Source organism: Homo sapiens, chromosome 10, assembly GCF_000001405.40.
Source record: "Homo sapiens chromosome 10, GRCh38.p14 Primary Assembly".
Lineage (NCBI taxonomy): Eukaryota > Metazoa > Chordata > Mammalia > Primates > Hominidae > Homo > Homo sapiens.
In genome coordinates, this window is record NC_000010.11 from 37,189,955 (window position 1) to 37,211,493 (window position 21,539).

Consider the following 21,539-nt stretch of genomic DNA (forward strand, 5'->3'; position numbering starts at 1 on the left):
TTTGGGAAGAATATAAAGTGACCTTCTAGAACCAAAATTTACCAGAGAATTACAGCAAAAATATTCTGACTCTTAATGTCTTTCTCACTTGTGGGAAGCCATTAGGGATGGAAGCACCTGACCATGGAGAGCTGTGTTCTATTTGCAATAGGTGAGAATAAGCATATCTGCATGGCCACACATGTATATAAATTGTCATATACACTCTGTATAGACCAGAGGTTTTCAAACTTTAGAAAGTCAGCTGAAAACCTTGTTAACAATTCACACTGAGATTCAGCCGACTTGGGATTCTGCATTTTTAAAAAGTTCTCAGGTGATGCTGATGCTGGTGGTCCTTGGACGTTGCTCTGGGTTGCAAGAGGAGAGGCCTTTTGTGGGAATAATGTGGAAGCAGAGCAACTGGATAGAAGGTCAGGACAGAAAAGGTCAGGAGAAAGCATCATGGTGCTCTTAATTTTGAGGATGTTTTTAGTCAGGGGAGAAGAAGAAAGGAGCAATGCAATAGAAATTATAGATGGAAGATACTACCACTCCTCAAAGTAAAAGGAAAGAGTTGGAAAAAATAATGTTAACAGGTGTCGAATGGGAAGAATCAAGAGCAGAAGTCTAGTGATTATTTTTGCTAAAGCAGAGAGATTGTGAGGCAGGAAGCAGGGGACAAGAGAGAATCCAGCTAGATGATTTTGGATTTTCTATGAAGGAAAATGGAGTGAGCTCACTTCGGAAGCATTTAGAAAAGTTTTACTGCAGAGTGCTAGAGTGTGGGTGCTCTGGAGACTACTGGAATCATGAGGATTACTAGAATTGGACTAAACCTCAGTGACTCATTAATAATCTTTATTAATATGAAGCATCAATATATAGATATATATATATAGATGTATGTATGTATGTATGTTTTTGACGTTCACAATTTGAATAAGATATACTTGAATGTAAGAACCTTGGCTTTATTTTTAAGGAAGCAAATTGTGTTGGTAAAATTGCCATTTTATGAAACCTCATTAGCAAATAACATGCTACACGAAACCAGACTAATTTTAAAAACCATAAAACTCTGAATTTATGACTTGAATACCTAAATTGTTGTTATTCGTAGGTATTTTACTGATTTTAACATAGAAAATGTTATTAATATTTAAAAGTCTGTTGCAACTAAATTTAAATGAAATACATCAATATTGAAAGCTTATTAAATTTGCTATTCCTTGATGAGATTTGTACATCTTCCTCCATGAGTGGATTAAGAGATATTGAGATGAGTAAGCTAGAAATTACAAAAATGTTGGCATACTATTCCAGTATATGGGTATGAAAATCAAGGAATATTTATATTTAATATTATGCTCTAAATATATATCCAAGCTGATCAATTCATAACACTTTTTCTGATGAGATGTCAATTCTACATTCAGCTGAACTCTCATCCGAACTGTGTGGCTTCTCAATGACAGGACATATTAAAGAACATGATGAATGTTTGTAATGCAATGATATAAATTATTATAATGTGTTGCCTTAAAGACACATGGTGTAGCATTCTACGTTCAGCTTTTGCATTTATTTTCTCAGTGTCATGATTTGCTCCTGTGATTCCAGATCAGTTTTCTCCTTATCAGTCAGCATATACATATTGGTATTAACACTTTTTGCAAAAATCATATATAAATGGTTGTACAATGTTGTTGTCATTCTACAGCAACTTTTTAATTTTTGTTCAGCGATTAGCTTGTTTTTCATTTATTTTAAGATTTCAGGCCAGGTGTGGTGGCTCACGCCTGTAATCCCAGCACTTTGGGAGGCAAAGGTGGGTGGATCACGAGGTCAGGAGATCCAGACCATCCTGGCTAACATGGTGAAACCCCACCTCTACTAGTAATACAAAAAATCAGCCGGGCGTGGTGGTGGGTGCCTGTAGTCCCAGCTACTCCGGAGGCTGAGACAAAAGAATGGCGTGAACCCGCGAGGCGGAGCTTGTGGTGAGCCGATATTACATTATTGTAACATTGAAATATGCAGGTGAATGATATATAAAAAGCCTCTGGAAGTTTACTTCTAGTTTTTGATACTTTCACATTACATGTTTTTTCTTTTTTAGAGACAGAGTCTCGCTCTGTCATCCAGGCTGGAGTGCAATGGCATGATCTTGGCTCACTGCAACCTCCACCTCCTGGGTTCAAGTGATTCTGGCACCTCAGGCACCCAAGTAGCTGAGATTACAGGCCTGTGCCACCATACCTGGCTGATTTTTGTAATTTTAGTGGGGACAGTGTTTCTAAAATAGTGATTTTGGCCAGGCTGGTTTGGAACTCCTGGCCTCCAGAGATCCGCCCTCCTCGGCCTTCCAAATTGCTGGAATTACAGGCATGAGCCACTGCACCTGGCCTGTATTGGTTTGTTGATGGGTATGCTTGGACCTTTTTGTATAAGTGGATCAGGAAATTTTAAGAGGACTAAACTAGAGAACCCTATGAATGTGAAAATACTCGTATTTCTCAGAGGTACAAAAATGAATATATTTATTAACTTTTATTCTATAAGTAGAAATGCTGCTAAATTTAGAACATTCTCTGCAATGATAAGTACATTTGTACCTTTGAACTCTCATCACAACTTTGCAATTCCTAAACTCCAGGACAAATTGAAGAACATAATAGCAACATGTATATATTGACATCAGTGATTCTGACGTGTTTCCTTAACAATATGCCATAGCATTCTCCCATTAGCTTAGTCATTTATTCTGTTTTGGTGGGGTGTGGCATGACTTGGTCATCTTATTAAATACAACTTCTTTCCTTATACGGCCGCTTTCTCTTACTGATAGTAGGATATTTCTGCTTTAGTTATTGTCACCTTAAATATATTTTCAATGTTGAAATCCTCACAGCATGTTTGATGAAATCTAGTTTTCAAATTGTCTTAGGTATATTTCTGTCACGTTGGCATGATAACAAATACAGTAACCCAAAAGACCCCAAAAGCTAGTGTAATCCCTTTTGCAATCCAAGCATGAGGATTCATCTTCATGTTGACAGTGCGTGAATGTTCGGTAGGCTTTGTCAAGCTTGCATACAATAAATTATATATGTCCCTTTTCTTTTAGAGTCTCCTGATAATGATGGTTTTCTGAAGGTAATAACTTTTATATTTTTATCTTGAGTATTAACTACATATTTTATGAAGTATACATTGTATATTAATTGTTTTGTTTCTAAACCCATTTAGGCTCCCTGCAGAATGAAAGTTTCTATTCCAACTAAAGCCTTAGAATTGATGGACATGCAAACTTTCAAAGCAGGTAAATTTTGTAATTTTAATTTTACTCTGGAAAGAAGAATATTAAAATATTTGAAATGCTGTGAGACTTTTCATTCCCAATGTTGTTTTCTATTCATAATTTGATGGGAAATTTCGATACAAATAATGCCAATGTGAGTATTTCTGTTTGAGAAAATGCCATTTATAAGCCTAAGATTTAGAGATTTAGAAAAAAAATTCTGCTTTACCTCATGTGGTTCTACTTTAATGTCCTGATCGGATAAAGTTTCCAATTTGCAATTTCTGTACGCGCTTGGTTTTAAGGTAGGTGAATTTTGAGACTGTGAAATATTTGCAGTGGTTCAAAGGCTGATTGGAATTCTGATGTTTACTTAGAAGAAAGTTCCACTTGCTGACATGACAGTTGTGAGTGTTACCACTCTGAGAATCTTAAGAAAATCAGTTTTTTTTTTATTAGATGACTGTGTGTTTGTGTGACTTATAATTTTAAAAAATCAGTCAAGCAATCATTACTTGATGACTCTTGTCTAGACACGGTGTTTTAGAAGAGTGACCCCAAAGCATTTGGCCTTGGTGTCTTTTAATGCTACTGTAATGAATTGCCTAGAGGTACAAAAGAGCCTGAATTAGTTCTTGTTGTCATTCCCGTGAACGTTTACAACATTTTACAATAGGCCGTGCACGGTGGCACGTGCCTGTAATGATAGCAGTTTGGGAGAGAAAGGCAGACAGATAAGTTAAGGTCAGGAGTCCCAGACCAGCCTGGTCAAATTAGTGAAACCCCATCTCTACTAAACATAACAAAAAGTAGCCGGTTGTGGTGGTGGGTGCCTGTCATCTCAGCTACTCTGGAGGCTGAGGCAGGAGAATGGCTTGAACGTAGGAGGCAGAAGTTGCATGAGCCGAGCTTGTGCCACTTTAGCCTGAGTGACAGAGTGAGACTCCATCTGAAAAAGCAAAGAAATAAAAACACAAAAGCTCACAACATATGTGTGGTTATAGACTATGTGTAGAATTTGTTTTCATGTCTTATAGGCTATGTGTAGAATTTGTTTTCATGTCTTCAATTTTCTTCCTTTTTTTTGTTTGCATTTCTTTCTTCAGTTTTTTTGTTTTGTTTTGTTTTTGTTTTTTTGAGCTCGACCAGGCTGGAGTGCCATGGCGCCATCTCGGCTCATGCAAGCTCTGCCTCCCGGGTTCACGCCATTCTCCTGCCTCAGCCTCCCGAGTAGCTGGGACTCCAGGCGCGTGCCACCACGCCTGGCTAATGTTTTGTATTTTTAGTAGAGACAGGGTTTCAGTGTGTTAGCCAGGATGGTCTGATCCGGATCTCCTGACCTTGTGATGCGCCCGTCTCGGCCTCCCAAAGTACTGGAATTACAGGCGTGAGGCACCGTGCCCGGCCGATGTCTGAAATTTTCAATAAATAGTTGTACACTGTACGTATTGTCCTGGAACTTCCTTGTTTGCTTATCGAATATTTTAGATGGACCCAATACAATTAGCTCTGCTTTGATTTAAGACCTCATAGTTTGCCATGTTAACTCTAAAACACATTTAATTAGACCGTCTTTTCTAGCCACTAAAAGTCGAAATTAAATGGCAGCTGATATCACAGAGCTTTTACTGAAGTGGGAGTATTTACTGCTTCATCCACTGTTAGAAATTAAAATGAAAATATTTAAAATACACGAATTGGAAAAGTCCTACTTTCCAATATGCATTACAACTGTTAGTTGTTAACCATGAAAATTATGACATTGTGACATGTCATGAGTCTGAAAAATTTTAGTTTACACTTCTTAGAAAATATCAGTAAATAGAAGAAATAGGAAAAACATTATGTGAACTATTAGGCCCCCGGTGTATTTGTTGAACTTCAGAGATGCTCAGATCAGAAGTTAGAACAAGAATTTTCAAAAATGCATAAGGTTTTAAAGTGCCAAATAACAAATGGGCTCTTGTATATGAAATAATGTCTGAAGTTGCACGTCTGAGTCTTTTTTCTCTTTTTCTTTTTCAAAAAGATATAAATCAAACAAAATCAAAATTTTGTTTATAATGAAAAGAGTTGGTTACAGATTCATTCTGTGTCTCATGGCGCTGTGCTCTCTTCCCTAGAGAGGATCTAGACTTTTCATCTGTTTACATGGGAAGAAGTAGTTCAGTTTATGGTCTCATTTCTCATATAAACTGTGAAAATTCTCCACGGCTTCACATGCTAGTTCAGAAGATATTGATGCCTTGAGAATAAAGCATCTGGTTGTAACTCCAGCAGTTTTATATTTAAAGTATACCTAATATAATTGTCAACCACATTACTTTAGAAAACATAAACAAAAGATAGTTACACATATTTATTTAAAAAATGGTGACCGGGTGCGGTGGCTCACGCCTGTAATGCCAGCACGTTGGGAGGCCGTGACTGACAGATCACTAGGTGAGGAGATCGAGACCATCCTGACTAACACAGTGAAACCCTGTCTCTACTAAAAATACAAAAAATTAGCCGGACGTGGTGGCACGCATTTCTAATAATTTCTCAGGCGATGCTGCTGCTGGTGGTCCTTGGAGCTTGCTCTGAGTTGCAAAAGGAGAGGCCTTTGATGGGAAAAATTGGAAGAAGAGCAGTTGGATAGAAGGTCAAGACATAACAGGGTCAAGAGAATGCATTATATTGCTTTTATTTCTGGGTATGCTTTTAGCCAGAGAAGAAGAAGGAAAAGATAAACAGAAATTATAGATTTAAGATACTATCACTAAACAAAGAGAAAGGAAGTGTTGAACAAATAAATTTGAAACAGTGTTGTATGGGAAGAATTCTACAGAGTTAGAGGTTTTTTTATATTTTCTATTTTTTTTTTTTTTTTTTTGTAGTAGAAGCATTCTAGGCAGGTAACAGGGGACAAACAAGAAAGAATGTAGGCAGGTAATTCTGGAGACTCTGAGCAAAACAGTTGAGTGAACTCACTTCAGATGCATGTAGATTATTTGCACTCCAGAATGTAGACTGTGGGCACTCCAGAGACTACCGGAAGCAGGAGTCCTACTAGAATTGGGGGAACCACAGTGACACATTAGGTTTTTCTGTTACAATGAGGCATGACAAATATATATATTTTGTTGATGTTAGCTATTGAAATGAGATATATTGGAAACTAAGAACATTGGGTTTATGTTTAAGGAAGTGTGTTGTTTTGGTAAAATTGCCATTCCATAAAAATTTATTATAGACTAATGATACACTGAACCAGACGAATTGTAGGAACTGTAAAAATACTGAATTTATACTTCAAAAATAAGATTGCTTTTTAAGATAAATATTGTGGTGACTTAACAATTAAAAAAGTTATTTATGTTTAATTCATCTATTGCAATAAATTTTTATAGAAATATGTCAATATTGAAAGCTTAGTGTAGATTATTTCCATGATGAGTTTTACACATCTTCTTGCATGAGTGGATCAAGAAGCATTCAGATGAATAAAGCAGAGGATACAGAAATATAGGCATATGATTACACCCTATGGTTATGGAAAAAAATGAATATTCATTTTAAGTATTATGACCTAAGTGTATATCCAAGCTGATCAATTCAAAACACTTCAGTGACGAGATGTCAGTTGTACATTCAGCTGAACTCTCATCATAACCATGTACCTTTCCGAAGATAGGCTATGTTAAAGAACAGGATGAATGGAATAATATAAGTGATTCTAATGTGTTTCATTAAGTACGTGGCGTAGCATTCCATGTTCAGCTTTGACATTTATTTTCTCATATCAACCCTGTTTACACGTGAAACACAATCTCGCTCTTGAAGTCTTAACTGCATGATCTGTGAAACCTGTATTTATATTTTCTTCAGTGTATTCTTGTCGTGTGTGTGTCCTAAACAAACCAAAAGAAAACTTTCCAAATCTAAAGTATTCATTCTCCAATTGGAGCAAGAGGAGTCAGTTAGATACTATCACGGCATTCATTTGTGGCTGGCTTGTCATATTTACTTATGATTGATGATAAATCTCTTTTGCTTTTTAGAGCCTCCCGAGAAGCCATCTGCCTTCGAGGTATTTAGTTTTATGATTTCATTTTGAATGACTTATTAACTATGTATTTTGTGAAGTATACATTCTTTATTAATCATTTTGCTTCCAACCCCATTTAGCCTGCCATTGAAATGCAAAAGTCTGTTCCAAATAAAGCCTTGGAATTGAAGAATGAACAAACATTGAGAGCAGGTACATTTTTCAATGTAACTATGCGAAGACCAATATTTCAATATTGAACATTTTGATGGTCTTTCTATCCCCAATGCTTTATTTTTTTCAACTTTGATGATAAGTTTTGATCTAGGTAATGCCAATACTGGTATTGATGTTTGAAAAGCTGGTATTACAAGCACAGTAATTTTCAATATTTTTTTTAAAAAATGTAGCCTTAATCTCAGATGTTTCTACTTTTGTATCCTGAAACTGTAATGTTTTCTATTTTGAACTTCTGTATTTCTTAAAGATTCAAGAAGGTGAATGTTGAAACTCCAATTTCTTTTTTTAGTTCTTCGAAGCTTGATTCAAATTCCACGGTTTATTTCGGGGATCCCATCTTTTACTGATATAACACTCGTGTTTTAACTTGAATTACCTCGTTTCCAGTGTTGTCACTTTGAGAATCCTAAGAAAATCAGTAACTCGGATTAGTGAACTCTGTGTGTTTATGTGTGTGTGTCTGCGTGTGTGCCTGTGTGTGCCTGTGTATGTGTGTGGTAACTTTACCTTGTGAAGATGAGGAAAAGAATTATTCATTTCTTTGTGAATATTTGATAAACACACTTTTTCATGAAACTGTGATTCTGAAGTGTTTGGCTTTAGAGTCTTTTTACACTAGTACCATTTATTGCCCAGAAGTAACCAATATTCTAAACTGTTTTTTAAAACTATTCTTATGCATGTTTAAACATTTTACAACATGTGTGCGTGGTCATATTTAATATGTACAATTTTTTTCAACTTCTAATATGTAGATGGTTGTGCAGTGTAATGTTCGGCAACATTCGTTTTTGATCAGCATTATAATTTTTAGAAACATCCGTATAGGACACAGTTAACTGTGTTTTTAATATTAGGTTATTTATAAAATTCCATTTTATGACAGTACCATAGTTAACTGCACAATTTTTATGCTGATAAGTAATAAATAAAAATGAAAACATGCAGATTTCTGCATCTTTAAAAGGTTAGTTTTATCTGCTGATTTTTTGGTTATTAGAAATTAAAAGTAAAATATTTAAGATATTTCCTTGTTCAATCATGCATTCCACCAAGAATTTGAACTGTGCCCCAGAGCTTCTTAGAGATATGGTGTTGCAACACGTTGTATCTCTGAAACTATCCAGGGTTCACTTCCAAAAATGAGTGAAAACGGTGGCTTACCAAAGTATGATTTAAGTTTCTTCGACACTCTGCATGAAATATGAACGTTAGCTATGCTGTGATCACAAGTTAAATTTACTTTTGAAAATCAGGTATACAATTGATGGATGTCAAATGATATACGTACCCTTAATGATGAAATGGTCTTTTAAGTTTTAGTTGTGCATGTTTGCTTTTTTCTTTAACCTGATTCAAATAGTTGTAATTTGTACTTTGTGCTGATAAAGAAACTTCAACGTTATTTTTGGTATAAATTCATTTTCTGTCTCATGTTCCTGAGAACTCCTCAAGTCTTGAGTGGGCCTTGATTTTATCCTATAACATGTGGGAACGTTGGATTACTTAAGGCAATTATTTTTTCCTATACATTTCTCATGTTTCTCCAAGGTGTCACAAGCTGACTCTGAAGGCATTGTTGCATTAGGGAAGAAGTATGTCATTGTAATTAAAGCAGTTCTTAATTCATATGCAATAAAAGTTTTTTAAGCTTATCTTCCTAAAACATATACATACCCAAACCACACCCAATACACTGTCATAGCATATTGAAATGTAAAAGGGTTGGACATATAGTTGACTGACATCAAAAAGTTAATATTCCTAAAAAATCTTATTCATTGATAAATCATCTTTTTTGAAGAACTGCGTAATAGAGATTGCTGAGTCAATCAACGTAAGTAATACTACCAAATAAAAATTTACAAAGAAATGAGAGATGGTAGGTAATTAAAGTTTTCTGAATGAACAGGAAATATAGGATATACCTTGTTTCAGAGTAGAAGAGTATGTGACTGCTTTGTGAAGAAATAATTCATAGAAGTTAGTCAAATTTATATTTTTGTGCATTCTAATGAAATAATGTTAATTTTCAGACTTTTCAGATTTCAATTCTAACGGATTGACTATAGGAAGTAGTCATTGTAATCAACAAAAAGAATATACGGGCTACAGAGGAGGAACCACAGATTCGTGAATGAAAGTAGATTTGTATATGTTTTTAAAATGTATAGTAGAGAAATGTTCTCATGAATGTATCTGTGATTAACCTTTTATAGATCAGATGTTCCCTTCAGAATCAAAACAAAAGAAGGTTGAAGAAAATTCTTGGGATTCTGAGGTACTATGTGTTATTGATTTTTTTAAATATTAGTATTGCATGATATGAAAACATAAAATCAGATGCTTAGACTTTATTTTCTCACCTCTGCATATGTCACCCGCAAATTATTTTTGATATTTTTCAGAATATGCTTAATAGAGAATCTATGTGCTAAGTAGATTACTGCTTCACAGTGATATTGTGTGAATTTGTAGGATTAATTTAAGAAGCCCGTGTGGTACAGTGGAAATAATAAGAGTTAGAATTCACTAGAAATTCACATGGGATCTGAAGTACGTTTGTCTAAAAGCAAAAGAATTACACTGAGTCCAGCTCTGGGCAAATATATGATTCTGTCTTATATCTAGATGTACAAAAGTTCTAATTGGATTCATAGAGAGACAGTTTAAGCTGCAGTATTGTAAAAGTTGGGACCTGAAAAGTTAATGCCTGGGACTTGAACGTATTGACATATCTTTATTGTTCAGTATAGATCTGAAGGAACATTTCAGCAGAAAGAAAAGCATGAGGAATAGGAAACCTTGTGGGAGTATAATAACAAGAGTATTGGTTGAGTAGTCTTTTGAAAAATATAAATTATATTTTCACAAATGGAACTCCTTGAGTCCCTTTATGACAGTCAAGCTGCAGCAGCATGAGCGTCAAATAATAGTGATGTATTTTAAGGTCACAACGGCGGAAAGACATAGAAAGTATCTGACCTCTTAGAAACAAGCAGCTGCTGCCTGGTGGTAACAGCAAAGGGTGGAAGTCAATAGACAGGTAGATTTTATCTGATTTGTAATTGGACAAAAAGACTTTAATACTTATTTGCTTTTATTTAGACATGACATAATTTTTTTCTTACTGCATTTGCATTCTATTCAAGCACTTTTTTATCACCATAAATTTTGTCAAAAACTTGTTGCTGATTTTAAGCCCTTGTTTATCAAAATAAAGCAGCTTTTTCAACATTCTGTACATACATTCTATGACAGACTCTAAAAGTTCTCTTCATGACAGGCATCATTTTTAACATTAGACAATTGTATGATCATGCATATTTTACATGTTTAATGCAGTATCTGTTATGGCAAGTAGCAAGAGTATTGTATTTTGTTTGAAATGTCATATTTATTGTTGTTGAGGACGACAACATGTTAGATATTTTTAAGAGAGATACGTTTTGAAATATGCACGATTGAATTTTTTCGTGTATATGATTTGTTTTTCCTGCTCAGTCACCGAGTTAATGGCCACATGGACATAAAGATCAGCTTGATGTAGAGAGGGTTATGTGAGGTTTTCTATTAAAATGTTTTTTTTTATACGTGTCTGCTCTTAAGTTGAATTGCTTGCAAAATAGGACTTTTTTTTAAAAAAAGATTTTAATTAGGAAATTTTGATAATCTTCATTATTAGGATTTTTCCATTGAAATTATTTATTGATATTACTTTTAACAGAGTCTCCGTGAGACTGTTTCACAGAAGGATGTGTGTGTACCCAAGGCTACACATCAAAAAGAAATGGATAAAATAAGTGGAAAATTAGAAGGTAAGAACCATCTTTTATTTAAAAGGTCATTTGACCAAGTATTTCTCTAAAATGATGAGGAAGGATATGCTCTAATAGCTGAAGAAAATTACCTCCTAAATGCAAACCATGGAAAAAAAGAGAAGTGCAATGGTCATAAGTTATATGTCTCATCAGGTGTTGGCAAAAGACTATATTGAGAGTGCTGAGAAGGAGGTGAATTATTAGTTTGAATTCAAGATATTCCAAGACCTGAGGACAATGAGAAAATAAGAAAGAAGAAAGTAGTAAAAGAGGAAATGAAGACTGAGAAAGACAGAGCGTACAGAGAGTACATGAAGGAACAAGAATCAGGTTTATATAATGGAGGATGATGAAATGATTGTTTAGGAAAAGATTGGGTGTGGTTAGAAATTTGGGAAGAATATAAAGTGACCTTCTAGTACCAAAATTTACCAGAGAATTACAGCAAAAGTATTCTGACTCTTAATGTCTTTCTCACTGGTGGGAAGCCATTAGGGATGGAAGCACCTGACCATGGAGAGCTGTGTTCTATTTGCCATAGGTGAGAATAAGCATGTCTGCATGGCCACACATGTATATAATTTGTCATATACACTCCGTATAGACCAGAAATTTTCATAGAAAATCAGCGGGAAACCTAGTTAACAATTCACACTGTGATTCAGCTGACTTGGGATTCTGCATTTTTAAAAAGTTCTCAGGTGATGCTGATGCTGGTGGTCCTTGTACCTTGATCTGAGTAGCTGAGGAGAGGCCTTTTGTGGGAAAAATGTGGAAGAATAGCAATTGAATAGAAGGTCAGGACAGAAAAGGGTCAGAAGAAAGCATTATGTTACTTTTATTTTTGAGTATGTTTTTAGCCAGCGGAGAAGAAGAAAGGGGCAACGCAATAGAAATTGTAGATGGAAGTAAAGCAGTCCTCAGCAAATGTAAAAGAACAGAAATTATCACAAACTGTCTCTCAGACCACAGTGCAATAAAACTAGAACTCAGGATTAAGAACCTCACTCAAAACCACTTAACTACATGGAAACTGAACAACCTCCTCCAGAATGACTACTGGGTACATAACGAAATCAAGGCAGAAATAAATATGTTCTTTGAAACCGATGAGAACAAAGGCACCACATACCAGAATCTGTGGGACACATTTAAAGCAGTGTGTAGAGGGAAATTTATAGCACTAAATGCCCACAAGAGAAAGCAGGAAAGATCTAAAATTGATACACTAACATCACAATTAAAAGAACTAGAGAAGCAAGAGCAAACACATTCAAAAGCTAGCAGAAGGCAAGAAATAACTAAAATCAGAGCAGAATTGAAGGAGATAGAGACACAAAAAATCCTTCAAAAAATCAATGAATCCAGGAGCTGGTTTTTTGAAAAGATTAACAAATATGATAGACTGCTAGCAAGACTAATAAAGAAGAAAAGTGAGAAGAATCAAATAGACACAATAAAAAATGATAAAGGGGATATCACCACCGATCCCACAGAAATACAAACTACCATCAGAGAATACTATAAACACCTCTATGCAAATAAACTGGAGAATCTAGAAAAAATGGATAAATTCCTGGACAGCTACACCCTCCCAAGACTAAACCAGGAAGGAGAATCCCCGAATAGACCAATAACAGGCTCTGTAATTGAGGCAATAATTAATAGCCTACCAACCAAGAAAAGTCCAGGACTGGACAGATTCCCAGCCAAATTCTACCAGAGGTACAAGGAGGAGCTGATACCATTCCTTCTGAAATGATTCCAATCAATAGAAAAAGAGGGAATCCTCCCTAACTCATTTTATGAGGCCAGCATCATCCTGATACCAAAGCCTGGCAGAGACACAACAAAAAAACAGAATTTTAGACCAGTATCCCTGATGAACATCAATGCAAAAATCCTCAATAAAATACTGGCAAACCGAATCCAGCAGCACATCAGAAAGCTTATCCACCATGATCAAGTTGGCTTCATCCCTGGGATGCAAGGCTGGTTCAAGATATGCAAATCAATAAATATAATTCATCATATAAACAGAACCAAAAACAAAAACCACATGATTATCTCAATAGATGCAGAAAAGGCCTTTGACAAAATTCAACAGCACTTCATGCTAAAAACTCTCAATAAACTAGGTATTGATGGGATGTATCTCAAAATAATAAGATCTATTTATGACAAACCCACAGCCAGTATCATACCGAATGGGCAAAAACTGGAAGCATTCCCTTTGAAAACTGGCACAAGACAGGGATGCCCTCTCTCACCACTGCTATTCAACATAGTGTTGGAAGTTCTGGCCAGGGCAATCACACAGGAGAAAGAAATGAATGGTATTCAATAAGGAATAGAGGAAGTCAAATTTTCCCTGTTTGCAGATGACATGATTGTATATTTAGAAAACCCCATTGTCTCAGCCCGAAATCTTCTTAAGCTGATATAAGCAGCATCAGCAAAGTCTCAGGATACATAATAAATGTGCAAAAATCACAAGCACTCTTATACACCAATAACAGACAAACAGAGAACCAAATCATGAGTGAACTCCCATTCACAATTGCTTCAAAGAGAATAAAATATCTAGGAATCCAACTTACAAGGGATGTGAAGGACCTCTTCAAGGAGAACTATACACCACTGCTTAACGAAATAAAAGAGGACACAAACAAATGGAAGAGCATTCCATGCTTATGGATAGGAAGAATCAATATCGTGAAAATGGCCATACTGCCCAAGGTAATTTATGGATTCAATGCCATCCCCATTAAGCTACCAATGACTTTCTTCACAGAATTGGAAAAACTACTTTAAAGTTCATATGGAACCAAAAAAGAGCCTGCAGTGCCAAGACGATCCTAAGCCAAAATAACAAAGCTGGAGGCATCACACTACCTGACTTCAAACTATACTACAAGGCTACAGTAACCAAAACAGCATGGTATTAGTACCAAAACAGAGATATAGATGAATGGAACAGAACCACACATCTACAACCATCTGATCTTTGATGAACCAGACAAAAACAAGAAATGGGGAAAGGATTCCCTATTTAATAAATGGTGCTGGGAAAACTGGCTAGCCATATGTAGAAAGCTGAAACTGGATCCCTTCCTTACAACTTATACAAAAATTAATTCAAGATGGATTAAAGACTTAAATGTTAGACCTAAAACCATAAAAACCCTAGAAGAAAACCTAGGCAATACCATTCAGGACAAAGGCATGGGCAAAGTCTTCATGACTAAAACACCAAAAGCAATGGCAACAAAAGCCAAAATTGACAAATGGGATCTAATTAAACTAAAGAGCTTCTTCTGCACAGCAAAAGAAACTACCATGAGAATGAACAGGCAACCTTTTTGCAATCTACCCATCTGACAAAGGGCTAATATCCAGAATCTACAAAAACTTAAGTTTACAAGAAAAAATCAAACACCCCATGAAAAAGTGGGCAAAGGATATGAACAGACACTTCTCAAAAGAAGATATTTATGCAGACAACAGACACATGAAAAAATCCTCATCATCACCTGTCATCAGAGAAATGCAAATCAAAACCATGATGAGATATCATCTCACACCAGTTAGAATGGCGATCATTAAAAAGTCAGGAAACAACAGGTGCTGGAGAGGATGTGGAGAAATAGGAACGCTTTTACACTGTTGGTGGGAGTGTAAACTAGTTCAACCATTGTGGAAGACAGTGTGGTGATTCCTGAAGGATCTAGAACTAGAAATACCATTTGACCCAGGGATCCCATTACTGGTTATATACCCAAAGGATTATAAATCGTGCTACTGTAAAGACACATGCACACATATGTTTATTGCAGCACTCTTCACAATAGCAAAGACTTGGAACTAACCCAAATATACATCAATGATAGACTGGATTAAGAAAATGTGGCACATATACACCATGGAATTCTCTGCAGCCATAAAAAAGGATGTGTTCATATCCTTTGTAGGGACATGGATGAAGCTGGAAACCATCATTCTGAGCAAACTATCGCAAGGACAGAAAACCAAACATCACATGTTCTCACCCATAGGTGGGAATTGAACAATGAGAACACTTGGACACAGGAAGTGCAACATCACACACGGGGGCCTGTCATGGGGTGGGGGGAGGTGGGAGGGATAGCATTAAGAGAAATACCTAATGTAAATGACGAGTTAATGGGTGCAGTGCACCAATATGGCACATGTATACATATGTAAAAAACCTGCACGTTGTGCAGATGTACTCTAGAACTTAATGTATAATAACAACAAAAAAAATTTCCACCCGTACTTACACGCTTGTGGAAGACATTGGAGATGGAATTACCTGACTATGTGAAGCTGTGTTTTATCTATTATTGGTGAATATAAGCATATATGAGCAGCCACACATGTATATATTTTTTCAGTATTGTCTAGAAGGTTTCAAACTTTAAGAAATGAGCTATAAAACTTGTTAACAGTGCACATTCTGATTCAGCAGACTTGAGGTCATGCAATTTTAATAAATTCTCTGATGATGCTGATGCTGGTGGTTCTTGGACTGTACACTGAGTAGCGAAGGTATAGAGTTTTCATTGAAATAATTTGGAAGAAGAGCAATTGGATAGAATGTCAAGACATAACAGAGTCAAGGGAAAGCATTATTTTGATTTTATATCTGAGTATGTTTTTAGCCAGAAGAGGAGAAGAAAGAGGTTAAAAAGCAAAAACAGAATTTATAGATGCACGATATTACTTCTGAACAAGAGAAAGAAACTGGTAGGAAAATTTATTTTAAAAAGTGTTGAAGGGAAAGAATCAAGACCACAGATCCAGATCCGGAGATTATTTTGCTAAAGAATAGCAATTGTGAGGCATGAAGTGGGAGGGGGGAAGAAGCTATGAACTTAATTTTGAGGTTTCTGAGAAGGAAACTTGAGTGAATTCACTTCAGATGCATTTGGAATGTTTGCACTCCAGAAGATGAGATTGTGTGTGCTCTGGAGAGTATTGGAAGAAGGAGGTATTACTAGATTTGGCGACTCCCACAGTGACTCATTACTCTTCTCTGTTACTTTCAGGATTCATAGAGATATGTTTTGTTGATATTATTTATTTAAGTGAGATAAATTTGAATATGAATCCATTGGCTTTTTTTTGTAAAATTTCTGCTTTATAAAATCTGTTAGAAGGCTGGGCCCGGTGGCTCATGCCTGTAATCCCAGCACTTTGGGAGGCCAAGGCGGGCAGATCACTTGGGGTCAGCAGTTCGAGACCAGCCTGGCCAACATGGTGAAACCCAGTCTCTACTAAAAATACAAAAATTAATTAGCTGGGCTTGGTAGCACATGCCTGTAAACCCAGCTACTCAGGAGGCTGAGGCAGGAGAATTGCTTGAACCCAGGGGGCAGAGACTGCAGTGAGCTGAGATTGCTCCACTGCACTCCAGCCTGGGTGGCAGAGTGAGACTCCCATCTCAAAAAAAATAAAAATGAAAAAATAAAAATTTCTTAGAGACTAACATGATAAATCAGACTGATTTTAGAAACAAACAAAAAATGCTAAATTTATTACTTGAATACTAAAACTGATTTTTACATAAATATTATACTGATTTCAAAATAAAAATGGTTATACTTAATTAATATTTAACAATTAAGTTGTTGAATACATATTTCAATATTGAAAGTTTTTTATACATTATTTTCTTTATGAGTTTTATATGCCCTCTTACATGAGGGGATCAAAAAACATTCAGATGGATAAGTGAGAGGATGCAAAAAAATGTAGGCATAAAATTACACCATGTGTATGGAAAACAATGAATATTTTATTTACCATTATTTTCTAATATACATCCATACTCATAAATTCATTATACTTTCGTTGATGAGACATCAATTTTACATTCAGCTAAACTCTCATTGTAACTGTGTACCTTCTCAATTATAAGATAAATTAAAGAATATGATGAATGTTTGTAGTTTACTGATATAAGTGATTCTGAAGTGTATCTTGTACTTCAGAAACTCTCACAATTTATAACCAGTATATGTTAGCCATGTGTGAGATTCATAGATGCCATATGATAAATGGGCTCTAAATGATTAAATGGCTTGTAAAATTTTCCTTGTGTGTTCTTTGCTTTTTTCTTTTGTCACTTAAAAATTTTAAACTCAATGTTTTTGTTTATGAAGGAAAATAGTTACATACTTACTTTTTGTCACCTGGGACTCTGCACACTTTTGATATAGTTTGAACCTAGACTTTTTTTTTTAACTTGTGAAAAATTAGGTCACTTATGGCTATTATTTTTATATAAATTTCTAATATATTTATCCAAAATTTCACAAGTACATTCTTAATATATTGGTGCATTAGAAAGAGACTATATCATTATCATTATAATAGTTTTTTGAAAATATATTCAATAAAGTGTTTTAAAGTCCATGTCTGTATAATTCATTGACAGAATAGTCTCATACCTCTTTAAACTTTAAATGACTAGACATAAATTTCATTGATAGAAAAGTATATATATCTTTGAAGAATCTTATTGATGAATAATTTATCCTGGAAAACAAACTATGTCATAAAGTTTGCTGAGTCAATTAAAGAAAGTAATAGTAAAATATTAATTCCTGAAAGAAAATGAGGGTTGATATTTAATTAAACATATCTGGGTAAATGGTGACTATCAGACATAGTGTGTTTTTTGTGGGGAAAGGAAGACAAGAGACTGCTTTTTAGAAGAAAAAAAAATTCATACGAGCTCTTTATGAGTCTTAGGTCAGGGTTTTGATAAGGAAGCAGAGCCATTCATGACCACTCAGGACATAGAACTGATGCTGCATTTTCTCTTTCCTCTGGGAGCCTCTTTGCAATTCACTAAGAGCTTTTCCTGAGACCCTTGTCTTGGCTGGTGTCTGTGCCCCTCATTAGGGTATCCAAACATCAAGCCAGTTTTGTCAGTCCAGTCCAGCTTGTCAGTGTAGTTTTGCTCAGCTTCGTCCTTCTTTCTGGAGCTGAGTAGAGAATTCAGGGCACTGGGCATTACACAGACTTGCCGATAACCTGAGGTAACAGAGAGTTCCTACCGGTAAAACAAAGACAAAGCATATTCTTATCCGCTTCTGCCACAGTACATTCTAACCTGTGGTCACCATTTGTTGGCTGGGAGGTTGCACTGCACACCCCATTACAAAATTTGCTGACTCAAGTGTGGATAGGGAAATGATGTAGGCTTCTTGAGACCTCCACTTTCTCATTTCTGCAGCAAATTGAGGGCCTTCTCACCTGCCCAGTATGCTGCCATGAGAACTAGCATTTGGGAAAACCACCATACTAAGTTTACATATAACCAAAAGAATCATACAGAGGCTGACTCCCCTGACAGCACTCAGAAACAAATTGCATTCTTCAGCATATGTTAAAGCCACACCCTCCAAGGTGATAACATGTCTCAAGCAAGTGAAAGTAAACTTAAATAGAAGAAGTGACTCTCTTTTCAGATTGGAAAGATGAGCCAAAAGTCTGAAAGCTGAAAAAACACAGGATATCAGCACACGACTTTATTCCTCAACCCTTTGGCAACCACTGATCTTTTTACTCTATCTATACATAATTTTGTTTTCTGGATAATGTCATTTTTAGAAATATGCATTTAAGTCTTTTCATGTCTTTTCATAGCTTGATAGTTCATCTCTTTTGAGTCCTTAGTAATATTCCATTGTATGACTATAGCACAGTTTATACACTCATCTTTCTAAGGTTATCATTATTGCCTCACAAATTGGTTGAATTTTTGCAATCATGTTCATAAGGCAGTTCTCTTGTTTGTAATAATATCATCTGGTTTTGATTTAGAGTAATGCTAGCATTATACAATGAGTTAAAATGTACTGTGTATTAGGCTATTTGTGCATTGCTATAGAGAAATACCTGAGATTGGGTAATTTATGAGGAAATAGATTTCATTGGCGCACAGTTCTACAGGTTGTACAGGAAGCATAACGTGGGGCTCTGCTTCTGGGGAGGCCTGTGGAAGCTTACAATTATGGTGGAACGTGAGGAAGAACTTGCACATCACATGGCCAGAGCAGGAGCAAGAGAGAGAGGTGGGAGGTGCCATGCATGTTTAAATGACCAATATTCATGAGGATCACTATTGTGAGTACAGCACCAAAGGCACGGTGCTAAATTATTTGTGAGAAATCTTCCCTCATGATGCATTCACCTCTCACCAAGCTTTACTGCCAACATTGGAGATGACATTTCAATGGGAGATTTTGGTGGGGACACACATCCAAACTATGTCATACTTTCTTTTATTTTAGGAGTAGAGTTTGTTTAGAATTATACCTCTTTTTTTCTAAAATATTTGGTAGAACTCACCAGTGTAGGATTCTTTTCCTGGACTTTTCAATGTAGGAAGACTTTTAACTATGACTTAATCTTCTTTTATATATTTAGGGCAATGCAGGTTAACTATTTTTTCTTGAGATATTATATTTTTTTTGACACTGACTAGATCTTATTTTCCTATTGTTGACATCATTTATATTTTGGCAAAAGAGAGTTGGATCTTTTACATAAAAATTTCCTTTGAACCTTTGCCAGAATCAGTATACTGTCATTCCTAGTTAAAAAGGTTTTCTTATATTATAATTTAAGTTCTAGGTTACATGTGCAGAACATGTGGGTTTGTTACATAGGTATACACATTCCATGGTGGTTTGCTGTACCCATCAACCCATCATCTACATTAGGTATTTCTCCTAATGCTACCCCTCCCCCAGCCCCTCATCCCCAACAGTCCCTGGTGTGTGATGTTCCCCTCCCTGTGTCCATATGTTCTCATTGTTCAACTCCCACTTATGAGTGAGAACATGCAGTGTTTGGTTTTCTGTTCTTGTGCTAGTTTGCTGAGAATGATGGTTTCCAGCTTCATCCATGTCCCTGCAAAGGACATGAATTCATATCCTTTTTTATCACTGCATAGTATTTTATGGTGTATATGTGCCACATTTTCTTTATCCAATGTCTATCATTGATGGACATTTGAGTTGGTTCCAAGTCTTTGCTATTGAGAATACTCCCCCAATAAACCTATGTATGCATGTGTCTTTATAATAGAATGATTTATAATCCTTTGGGTATATAACCAGTAATGGGATCGCTGGGTCAAATGGTATTTCTGGTTCTAGATCCTTGAGGAATCGCCACACTCTCTTCTACAATGGTTGAACTAATTTTCACTCCCACCAACAGTGTAAAAACGATTCTATTTCTCCACATCCTCTCCAGCATCTGTTGTTTCCTGACTTTTTAATGATTGCCATTCTAACTGGCGTGAGATGATATCTTATTGTGGTTTTGATTTGCATTTCTCTAATGATCAGTGATGATGAGCTTTTTTTCATATGTTTGTTGGCTGCATAAATGTGATCTTTGAAGAAGTATCTGTTCATATCCTTTGCTCACTTTATGATGGGGTTGTTTGTTTTTTCCTTGTAAATTTGTTTAAGTTCTTGTACATTCTGGATATTAGCCCTGTGTCAGATGGATAGATTGCAAAAATTTTCTCCCATTCTGTAGGTTGCCTGTTCATTTTGATGTTAGTTGCTTTTGCTGTGCCGAAGCTCTTTAGTTGAATTAAGTCCCATTTGTCAATTTTGGCTTTTGTTGCCATTGCTTTTAGTGTTTTAGTCATGAAGTCTTTCCCATGCCTATGTCCTGAATGATATTGCCTAGGTTTTCTTCTAGGCTTTTTATGGTTTTAGGTCTTATGTTTAAGTGTTTAATCCATCTTTTTTTTTATCTAGAATTTTTTTTATTATTATACTTTAAGTTTTAGGGTACATGTGCATAACATGCAGGTTAGTTACATATGTATACATGTGCCATATTGGTGTGCTGCACCCATTGGCTCATCATTTAACATTAGGTATATCTCCTAATGCTATCCCTCCCCCACCCCACAACAGGCCCTGGTGTGTGATGTTCCCCTTCCTGTGTCCATGTGTTCTCATTGTTCAATTCCCACCTATGAGTGAGAACATGTGGTGTTTGGTTTTCTGTTCTTGTGCTAGTTTGCTGAGAATGATGGTTTCCAGCTTCATCCATGTCCCTACAAAGGACATGAACTCATCATTTTTTATGGCTGCATAGTATTCCA

The 21,539-nt window shown here is 35.8% G+C and overlaps 1 protein-coding gene across 7 annotated transcripts in view; it reads left to right on the forward strand.

Moving 5' to 3' along the window:
• The window catches only part of ANKRD30A (ankyrin repeat domain 30A), a 140,297-nt gene that overhangs the window by 64,357 nt on the left and 54,401 nt on the right, over window positions 1-21,539 (forward strand). For all 7 annotated transcript variants that reach the window (XR_007062015.1, XR_930524.4, NM_052997.3 and 4 more), the window contains 6 exons: window positions 3,110-3,138; window positions 3,232-3,304; window positions 7,327-7,355; window positions 7,454-7,526; window positions 9,773-9,834; window positions 11,281-11,371. Coding sequence is in view for 5 of the 7 variants with exons in the window: in NM_052997.3 (NP_443723.3) it covers window positions 3,110-3,138; window positions 3,232-3,304; window positions 7,327-7,355; window positions 7,454-7,526; window positions 9,773-9,834; window positions 11,281-11,371 (357 nt within the window). In the remaining 2 variants the exon portion in view is untranslated. The remainder of the gene's footprint in view (window positions 1-3,109; window positions 3,139-3,231; window positions 3,305-7,326; window positions 7,356-7,453; window positions 7,527-9,772; window positions 9,835-11,280; window positions 11,372-21,539) is intronic.